The following is a 10,951-nucleotide window of genomic DNA, read 5'->3' as shown; positions in this document are numbered from 1 at the left end:
TCCCTGAACTTCAATTTCCTCTTCTACGTAATGAGGGGGTGGGAATAAATGATCAAAATCCCCATTGATCCAACAAGATGCCTTTACTTTCAGGAGCATTAAATCCCATCTGTCTACTTATACCCAAAATTGGTAGTATGTGTACTCTCTGCTCTTTCTCAAACATCTTGTCTCCAAGTCTCCTGATCTTTTTACATGGTATTTCCTTATTTTGCAGAATTTTTTTTTTTTTTTTTTTTGAGACAGAATCTTGCTCTTGCCCAGGCTGGAGTGCCGGTGGTGCAATCTCAGCTCACTGCAACCTCAGCCTCTTGGGTTCAAGCAATTCTGCCTCAGCCTCCTGAGTAGCTGGGACTACAGGTGCGCACCACCACACCCAGCTAATTTTTGTATTTTTAGTAGAGACTAGGTTTCATTATATTGGCTAAGCTGGTCTTGAACTCCTGGCCTCAAGTGATCCACATGCCTTGGCCTCCCAAAGTGCTGGGACTACAGGCAGTGAGCCACCCGGCCCAGAGTAACTTTTCCGTTACTAATTGACTTTTTTCCTGGATTTGTAAGAAGCCTCAGTGGTTGCTAGTAGTGTCCTACCTCTATCTCCTCAACCATGACCACCATTTCAGTGCCCACCAACCTGACCTCCCAACTGCCAGTACTTCAGTTTTTTTGTAGAGGATTTTCTGTGGCCACCAGGACCTGATCTACCTGTATGCATGTGCTGTGTATTGACTCTCCCCATCTTCATGGGGACAGCTTTCAAATGGAAAATCGACAGGAGCTGGTTGTCAAACAAGTTACCCTAGTTTCCTCGCACCCCGGTGGGATAACTGAGATGTGCATTCTTCACTTGTTCCCCAAACTCCCCAGCAGGATTGTGCTCCATAGTCCAGAGTATTAACTTGGTTGATAATGAGAGCTTTAATTGGCTTCTTTCCAGTCTGTCTCAATTCTCTACTTTGCTAATGGTGTTTCCTGATACCATCTCCCAAATAAACTACCTAAACTCAACTGCTTGTCTCAGAGTCAACTTCTGCGAGAATTCAAATTAAGCTCTTAGAACAACTTCAGTAGCGTTTTATCACCCCATTTGAGAAAGTTGATTCCCTTCTTCGTGTTCCTATATTGTAGCAATACAGTGAAGCTAATATGCTGAAGATATTGGGATATTACCTAATGGACAAAAAATTACTGGCTCTATAATGAAGAAGTCTTCTCATGATTTTTAAACTATTTCTCTACATAAACTTCAGACTCAATGGTAATATACAGTTCTTTGACACTGCTTCTTCACTCCTTTGGAAATTGTTAAAAATACAACATTTAAGGAAATAAAATATATCCTACGTACCATAATGAATTGCTACAAAGGATGTTGCACATTGTTATATTGGACTTTAAATTGGCTTGCAAAATCATAAATTACAAGGCTTTAGTTTACTTGTTAAAAACTGAAGAGTACCACTGATTTCCTTGCACTTAGAAGTGAATTTATAGAAACCATTCACTTTCTCAAAGTAAAATTCAGAATGGGATGGGATTCTGTAGATTATATTTCCAAAACATAGTGTGATACAGTTATGGGACTTTTTGCAGGCTATAATGAGGGCTCCAATTCAATTTCATAATCTTAAGTAACAATCTATAAAAAAGGAAGGAAAAAATTTTAAAAGGTCATACCAAAACATTAAGTCAAGATACAAGGTACATATTTTCTAGCAGATTGTGCCATAAAAAAGAGAAAAAGAAAAAAATGTTAATTTAAATCCACTTTTTATTCTTTCACAGATTTTAACAATTATACACAACTTTTAACATAAAGGTAGTGAAATCTCAAGGATAAGGAGGCAATATATATGGCCTCTTCTATTCGTTATTCAGGATGGAAGGAAATTTTCAAAGTACAGTGTGTGAGATTCAACACTGGAAAAATACATATGAAACTTGTTTAATTGGCTCCACTTAGGACCAGACACAGCACAATAAATACAGAACTGCATCATCTTTTTAAAAGATCATTGTAATTTTAACACATTCTTACTAAAGAAATACATACTATCAGTGACCGATCTGAAACTCTGTAACAGGTGAAGGGAGACTTACGATGAATATCTGAGCATAGGTTCGCTAGCATCTTCACACTCATACATAAACATTCTTAAAGGGAATAAGAATGATTTCAAATTCAAAACAACAACAACAACAAAAAAACAAATTTGGTCAAACTTTCTTCATCATACCATTCATTGCTATCACAATCCTAGTTTGCTGGTAGGTTTAAGAAAGGAATAGAAAGTTTTTGAAATCCTTTTAATTTCTACCAGTCTTAGGGCCTCTTGAGTAGGCCACTTTGGAAGCAAACTGATTAAACAGCACCATCAAGTCCGTATCTCAACAAACCATTGCATAATTTCTGTCAATGTTCTCAAAGGTTAAAACAAGTTGTATAGAAGAATACCTTTCCTCAATAGCAGGCCACTGTAAAAACATGTAATCTGCAAGAATTTAAACAAAACTATCCTGAATTCTCTACTGATTGCTTCTTTCCTTAATAGACCAAGAGATAGGCATTACCTAAAAAATTAAATAATAATATACTGAGGCATAAAATAAATACTTTATTTATGCTATCACAATTTGGGTATTTGAAGATTGTTAGCCATGTTCACACACCCTTTCCTCTTCCCAAAGAGGAAGCAACGGTGCCAGCACTATTGGTCAGAAAGAGTTAATGGGAAACTGTTGCTCTCAGAGCTGTTCTGCAATATGCAGACACATAAATTATTATTTTAAACATATACTTAAAAGACGGATAAAATGATTTTTTTTCATGTGACCCAGATTCTGTTATCAGTAGATACAAAATTAATTTCATTCCTATTAGGATGGAAACTGGTATGCTGCTGTGGCCATAGATATTCTGAGAAACCTCTTAAGCCAGTGAACCAAAAACCATATGAAAGAAAGTAATACTTTCTATGATTGGTCAACTGGCTGTTCAAAAATTCAACAAGCAAACAAACATGCAAACATGTGACATATGTCATTATTTTGTAAAAACATAATGCCACTCTGGCCCCAGGAATCACTACAGCCCAGCTGGTCCTTAAAGGTGCAAACAGCCTTTAATTGCTACTAAACATCTTCTCTGGTATTTTACTGCCCATCACACTTGCCACATGATTCTCAGAAGCTTAGGCTTCCAAGATGTTTAAGGAAAATAAACAGGGTGTGATGTGGATCAAGTTTTCAGTGATTGTTTTAAGTGTCATTTTAAAAAGAACTTCCTAGTAATGAAGTATGTAATAGTCCTTGATATTAAATTTTTTCTAGTGAAATAAACTATGCTTTAATAAGACAATGTTGCTCTAAGTTTGACCGCCTGATTTTTTTTTTCTCTTTTTTAGAGGGTACTATTTCATATATTGTGTGAGCCCCACAAATGTCTATTTTAAAAAGAGTATAGTCCCTGGCCAGGCGCGGTGGCTCACGCCTGTAATCCCAGCAGTTTGGGAGGCCGAGGTGGGCGGATCACCTGAGGTCTGGAGTTCGAGACCAGCCTGACCAATATGGTGAAACCCCGTTTCTACTAAAAATACAAAATTAGCTGGGCATGGTGGAGCATGCCTGTAATCCCAGCTACTCGGGAGGCTGAGGCAGGAGAATCACTTGAACCCGGGAGGCGAAGGCTGCAGTGAGCCAAGATCACGCCATTGCACTCCAGCCTGGGCAACAAGAGGGACACTCCGTCCCCAAAAAAAAAATAATAAAAAAAATAAAAAATAAAAATAAAAAGAGTATAGTTCCCAATGGTTTCTCACAAACATTCCTGATTTATACTGGGGGAAGTGATGCATAATTGGAACATTAATCATTATGTTTTTGAAAATTAAATATTTCCTGCAAAGCAATTCCTTTGCAAAATGCTAAGCTGCCAATGAGCTTACCACAATAGAAATTGAGTCATTTCACAAAGTACCTGTTCAAAAGTTATAGAAACCTGGCCTTCCATTCCAAATTCACTGCAAAGAGAGTACATGCAGTAGTCCTGTTTACAATTTAATAGAGATGAGGAAAGGGTACACCTAGGACAAAGAGGGTCATCACCCTACATACAAGTTTACAGTAGTGTAACCAGAATGTATATTTACTATATTCACCACTTCAGATAAAGGAAGAGGGAGGCCCTTCACAACACTAGAACAAAGGAATGTTTGTTTTATATAAGACCTACCAAAAAAACAGGGAAACAAATAACACACATAGGCACTAGTCTCAAAGCTGCACAATAAAGAAGCAAAGGGTTTGAGATGAGAAATTCAGGAAAATATACACATAGGAGCTTGCTGAGGAAAAGGAAATCACAGTTGTAATCTTCAAGGCTTCTAATCTTCAAGGCTACGGAATGCATTCTGCATGTCTTCAAGAAGTTGTGCATAGTCGCTTTTGATCTTTGCCTCACCATCTTTCAGTGGATCCTGAAAGAAGACATTACAAATTCAACTCGCATTTGGAAAATAATTTTCATTACGTATGTTAAGTTACTTTTTTTTTTTTGGAGGCAGAGTCTTGCTCTGTCACCCAGGCTGGAGTGCAGTGGCACGATCTTGGCTCACTGCAACCTCCACCTCCTGGCTTCAAGTGATTCTCCTGCCTCAGCCTCCCAAGTAGTTGGGATTACAGGCGCCCACCATCACGCCCAGCTAATTTTTTTTTTCATATTTTTAGTAGAGACAGGTTTCACCATGTTGGCCAGGCTGGTCTTGAACTCCTGATCTCAAGTGATCCACTTGCCTCGGCCTCCCAAAGTGCTGGGATTACAGGCGTGAGCCACTGCACCTGGCCCAGGTTACTCGTATTTTATATATTTTGAGTACTAGGTTTAGTGAGGGACACTGGTAAACCACAGGCAGGAGGTAAAACTATACTCATTTTCCCTTTTTCTTAAGGATACAAATCCAACCAAACAGAAAGAAAACAAAATTTTAATTTTGCATTTTGCCTGATAACCACATTCAGTGACCAAAGCCTTTATCCTCAACAATGTGCACAATAGTGGGAAATTATGCCGCTTCATATATTAGATGAACATGACTTAATGCATGATAATTAGGAATTAATTTAATCAAAACAGAATTTGCTCAACATCTGGTATTATCACACTGGGATGGAAAAGTAAAATTTAGGCAACTTACTGAGTAATATGTATAAAAGATAATTTAGCTAGGCTTGGTGGCTCACGCCTGTAATCCCAGCACTTTGGGGGGCCGAGGCAGGCGAGTCACAAGGTCGGGAGATTGAGACCATCCTGGCCAACATGGTGAAACCCTGTCTCTACTAAAAATACAAAAAAATTAGCTGGGCATGGTGGCGTGCACCTGTAGTCCCAGCTACTTGGGAGGCTGAGGCAGGAGACTCGCTTGAACCCAGGAGGCGGAGGTTGCAGTGAGCTGAGATCGCGTCACTGCACTCCAGCCTAGTGACAGAGTGACACTCTGTCTCAGAAAAAAAAAAAAAAAAAAAAAGAGACAGACTTTAAAATGTTCCAGGTCTCTAACCCAATCATTCCACTTCTGGGACTCCATACTAAGAAAATGCACAAAACCAACTACACACAACTACATGGTTGTCCACACCAATAACTGGAAATTTTCTTTTCTTTTCTTTGTTTTTTTTTTTTTTCAGACAGAGTTTTGCTCTTGTTGTCCAGGCTGGAGTGCAATGGTGTGATCTCAGCTCACCGCAACCTCCACCTCCCGGGCTTAAGTGATTCTCCTGCCTCAGCCTCCTGAGTAGCTGGGATTACAGGCATGCACCATCACGCCCAGCTAATTCTGTATTTTTAGTAGAGACGGGGTTTCTCCATGTTGGTCAGGCTGGTCTAGAACTGACCTCAGGTGATCCACCCGCCTCGGCCTGCCAAAGTGCTGGGATTACAGACGTGAGCCAATGCGCCCGGCCAACAACTGGAAATTTTCTAAGTGTCTAAGAATAGAAAAATATTACTCTCCAGCCACAAAACAATGCTACAGAAGAGTAATGACATTAAAAAATACCTGTGATGTTAATTTGACACAATAAGCATGTAAATAGAAATCATCATTACTACAGGTATATTTCTTCTTCATCCTCTTTCTATGAATATATAGTTTTTTAAGACAATATTTGGATCAAGTTACATATGGAAGTTTTTTCACTCTGTGCCATAAGCATTTCTCCATGTCTTTGAATATTTTTGACAAAAATGGTAATGCCTTCATAATATCTATCTTATGGACACACCATAATGTACTGTTGGCTCTGTTCATTCTTGGGTGACATTTAAGAAATTTGGTTTAGCGTAGTGGCTCATGTCTGTAATCCCAGCGCTTTGGGAGGCTGAGGCAGGCAGATCACCTGAGGTCAGGAGTTCAAGACCAGCCTGGCCAACATAGAGAAACCCCCGTCTCTACTAAAAATACAAAAATTAGCTGGGTGTGGTGAATGCACCTGTAATCCCAGCTACTTGGGAGGCTGAGGCAGGAAGAACTGCTTGAACCTGGGAGGGGGAGGTTGCAGTGGGCCAGGATCGTGCCACTGTACTCCAGCCTGGACAACAGAGCAAGACTCCATCTCAAAAAAAAAAAAAGAAAAAAAAAGAAAAAGAATTTAATAAACGACCGTGTATATCCGTATCAAAATTCTGATTACTTCCTTTGTTTATTTATCTCAAGGTGAAATGACAAGACTAAAAAGGTGTAAATGTTTTTAAACTCTCAATGTAGTGCTTACCTATTTGTACAGGTTTACTTTCAATCTATAGTGTGAACACACACACAAAATATATATATAATTTAAAAATTTTTATATTACATATACACTCAGAGAATCATTCTCAGTAGGTGGTTAGTAAATATGCCTGGATGTCATGACAGAAATAAATACAATTCAACTGATCAAATATTTTAAAAACAATCTTATACATTTGAGTTCCTACTAATAATTTCATTTAATTATCTATTTTTATCTTGTGTACTTCCAAAAGAACAAGAGGCCACTTAAAAGTTAAAAAATGGCTGGATGCGGTGGCTCACGCCTGTAATCCCAGCACTTCGGGAGGCCGAGGCGGGTAGATCACATGAGGTCAGGAGTTCAAGACCAGCCTGGACAACATGGTGAAACCCCGTCTCTACTAAAAATACAAAAAATTAGCTGGGCGTGGTGGCAGGCACCTGTAATCCCAGCTACTTGGGAGGCTGAGGCAGGAGAATCGCTTGAACCCAGGAGGTGGAGGTTGCAGTGAGCCGAGATTGTGCCACTGTACTCCACCCTGGATGACAGAGCAAGACTGTCTCAAAAAAAAAAAAAGTTAAAAAATGACCTGCAGTACATGATATTTAAAAGAAGTAAACAGAGAAGATGTCATTTCAGAAGAACACATGTGCTAGAGGTTAATAGGCACTTGGAGTAAGGCAACTGTTGCTCAGCTATGAAGTAAGCTCTAATTTGCCTGGCAACTAAGACAAAAGGGAATACACATCAGCATTTATTTTAGACGTGACATACTAATTTTTTTTGTTTTTTGAGACTGGGTCTCACTGTGTTGCCCAGGCTGGAGAGTAGTGGTGGGATCATGGCACACTGCAGCAGCCTTGACCTCAGCCTCCCAGATAGCTGAGACTACAGGTGTGTGCCCCACACCTGGCTAATCTTTTGTATTTTTTGTAGAGACGGGATTTCGACATGTTGCCCAGGCTGGTCTTGAACTCCTGGGCTCAAGTCATCCTCCTGCCTGAGCCTTTGAAAGTGCTGGGATTACAGGCATGAGAACCACTATGCCTGGCTGATATACTAATTTTTATCATTAGAATTCCTATTTGAACATAACTTTGAGGTCTCTACTGATTTTACAAAACCTGAACATGTGTGAAAATAACTGCAAGTTTTACAGCCCAGGTTTGGGACTCAAAATAGCTAGAAAAATTAAAAAGAAGCATTGCACTTTGTGAGGCCAAGGCGGGCAGATCACGAGGTGAAGAGATCGAGACCATCCTGGCCAACATGGTGAAACCCCATCTCTACTAAAAAAATCCAAAAATTAGCTGGGCGTGCTGGCACGCACCTGTCGTCCCAGCTATTCAGGAGGCTGATGCAGGAGAATCGTTTGAACCCAGGAGGCAGAGGTTGCAGTGAGACAAGATCATGCCACTGCACTCCAGCCTCGCAACAGAGTGAGACTCTGTCTAAAAAAAAAAGAAAAAAAGAAGCATTTCCAAATAAAAAAAGTTACAGCAGAAACAAAATATACCTTGAATTTCATGGAGGAAAGTTTATAGAGGATGTCTCCCATGTGCTCACGAATAATGGACCATGTGATTTTATTGTCACTCTGGGCAGTGGTTTCAACAGCTCTACGAGCCATATCATAAAATGCAATCATGTTGGACAGCATCCCTACTGTCTTGTAGAATGGGCAGAACCTAGAATAAATGAAGGTCCAAAAAATTAACAAAAATAAACTCCAAAACAGGTTCATACTTTATATAAAACTACTAGAGCATTAGTTTCTTTATCTAAGTATGCAGATTGCTTATTTATTAGATGATACCTAAGGAATAAAAAAATAATAGTGAAAAGACCAACAACTACTTAACCAGAGTTTTTGGACAGAGATGTCTCAGGATATGGGATAGAAGAAGATATATATTCTTGTATTTATTTTAAGGGTAAATTTTACTTTTCTCTGTTAACATCATCAAGTGGGAGAAACAATGAAACAGTATTACTATAATCTAATGACTCTCTGAGGGTTTGTTTTTGTACAATGCAGTTAAATAAGTAACCCAAATGGTAAAATAACTGAGTTGTAAAGACTCCCTTGTGATAGTGGATTAGGTTTAATGAGTAATAGGAAAGCAGGAAACTGCAAGTTCCTGAAGTTAGTAGTAGCCCCTTTTTTCTTAATGTGTTTGTTTTCATTTGCCCATACTTTTAAATAACAGACACGTGAACAAATATTCAACTTCAGTCACATACATTCGTACAACTTTTGGATATGTTTAAACACCTTTGCATACATAATTTCACGGATACTCCTATTACACCTTTTCCAAAGAATTTTTCCCTTGTTATCTTTGTGTAGGTGGTTCCTAGAAGCTTCGTTAAGTTCCCAGTAGAGCAGATTTCTGGGGCTTACTGATATACAGGCATATTTACTGCTTGCCCTACATTCTGGTAATCCTTCCATTGGCTCAGTTCCTTCTTCAGTCTTATATGGGGCCAAATATGATTTGAGGGAGAAAAGATAACCTGGCATGAAAGGGCTAAATTCTCAAAATTTAAAAGAAATGAGAACTTTAAACAAGCCTCAGTAGTAGCATTGATAATAATGAAAAAAAGAAAGCACTGAGTAGGAGTTGGAGTGCTCTAACAGAGACCTTGGTAGAAAGCAAGCAATAGGACTCTTGGGAAATGAGGCATGAAAGCAGAACTATTAATTATTTAGGAAAAGAGTAATAATTATTTAGGAAAAAAGTAAAAGAAGACAGGCGTGTTGGCTCATGCCTGAGTCCCAACACTTTGGGAGGCCGAGGTGGGTGGACTGCTTGAGCCCAGGAGTTGGAGACCAGCCTGGGCAACATGGCAAAACTCAGTCTCTGCCAAAAAAAAAAAAAAATTAGCTGGGCATGGTGGTGGGCACCTGCAGTTCTAGCTACTCAGGAGGCTGAGGTGGGAGAACTGTCAGGAGGTTGAGGCTGCAATGAGCTGAGATTGCGCCACTGCACTCTAGCTCGGGTGACAGAGTGAGACCCTGTCTCAAAACAACAACGTAAGAGAGTAAAGGAGACATGGGCAGTGGAAAGAAATGAAGAAGGCTTCTGAAGGAGGGAATAATCCCCAGGCTCTGCACTAAGCCACAATTAAATCTAATTATAGATGAATATATGAGTGAAAATACTGTCATAATTGGACAAATGAGCAAATCAAGATAGGGGACATATTAGATCATGTCTACTACAAATATACAAATAAACCAATCTACTAAGTCAGAGTGTATGAGCCTGTATGAGAATAAAAAAGGGTTTTTAATGTGTACTCCTTCACCAAAACACAACAGAAAATCCTCAAATAAAAAAAGGAAATCAATATAGCTTACCTGTCATAAGGAGTATATCCATTTTGTTGTAGGAAATCATCTTTGATAAGTTTTGCTACCTCCAGAGTGATTTTATCTGTTTCTGCCAAAGAAGCCTAGAAGAGAAAAAGATATTTTTAGACATTTACTCTAAAATGTAAGATTGATGGTGGCAATTAATTAACAAGCAGAAACTATTATATAGTTTCCACCATCACCTATTGTTAATAAATTTACTTATAACGGCTTTTTGATTGATGTTCTTTTTAAACTGTGGTTAAAAGGCATGTAACATAAAATTTACCATCTTTGCCACTTTTAATTATACAGTGTAACAGTGTTAGGTATACTCACATTACTGTGAAACAAATCTCTAGAGCTTTTCCATCTTGCAAGTCTGAAACATCCATTAAACAGTAACTGTCCTTTCTCTCCTCCCCCAGCCCCTGGTAACCACTATTTTACTTTCTGTTTCTATAAATTTGACTATTTTAAATACCACATAAAAATGAAATCATACAGTGTTTGTCCTTTTGTGACCAGCTTATTTCACTTAGCATAATGCCCTCAAAGTTTATCTGTATTGAGGCATGTGATGGGATCTCTTTTTTAAGGCTGAATAATATCTCATTGTATATATATATATACCACATTTTGTTTATGGATTCATCCATAGATGGACATATGGGTTGCTTCCACTTCCTGGCTATTGTGAACAGTGCTGCTAAGAATATGGGTCTGGGTACAGTGGCTTACACCTGTAATCCCAGCACTTTGGGAGGCCAAGGCAGGAGGACTGCTTGAGCTCAGGAGTGAGAGACCAGCTTGGGCAACATGGTG

At 39.0% G+C, this 10,951-nt stretch overlaps 1 protein-coding gene across 3 annotated transcripts in view; it reads right to left on the bottom strand.

The window, feature by feature from the left end:
- The window catches only part of ATP6V1A (ATPase H+ transporting V1 subunit A), a 65,022-nt gene continuing 55,824 nt past the window's right edge, over positions 1,754-10,951 (bottom strand). For all 3 annotated transcript variants that reach the window (XM_047448306.1, NM_001690.4, XM_047448305.1), the window contains 3 exons: positions 10,133-10,227; positions 8,285-8,456; positions 1,754-4,475 (listed from right to left, as the gene is read on the bottom strand). In XM_047448306.1, coding sequence (XP_047304262.1) covers positions 4,383-4,475; positions 8,285-8,456; positions 10,133-10,227 — 360 coding nt within the window. In that variant the 3' untranslated portion in view covers positions 1,754-4,382. The remainder of the gene's footprint in view (positions 4,476-8,284; positions 8,457-10,132; positions 10,228-10,951) is intronic.

Source organism: Homo sapiens, chromosome 3 (assembly GCF_000001405.40).
Source record: "Homo sapiens chromosome 3, GRCh38.p14 Primary Assembly".
In the NCBI taxonomy this organism is placed as follows: domain Eukaryota; kingdom Metazoa; phylum Chordata; class Mammalia; order Primates; family Hominidae; genus Homo; species Homo sapiens.
Note: the sequence above shows the minus strand (reverse complement) of the source record. Positions and strands in the feature narration are given on the sequence as shown.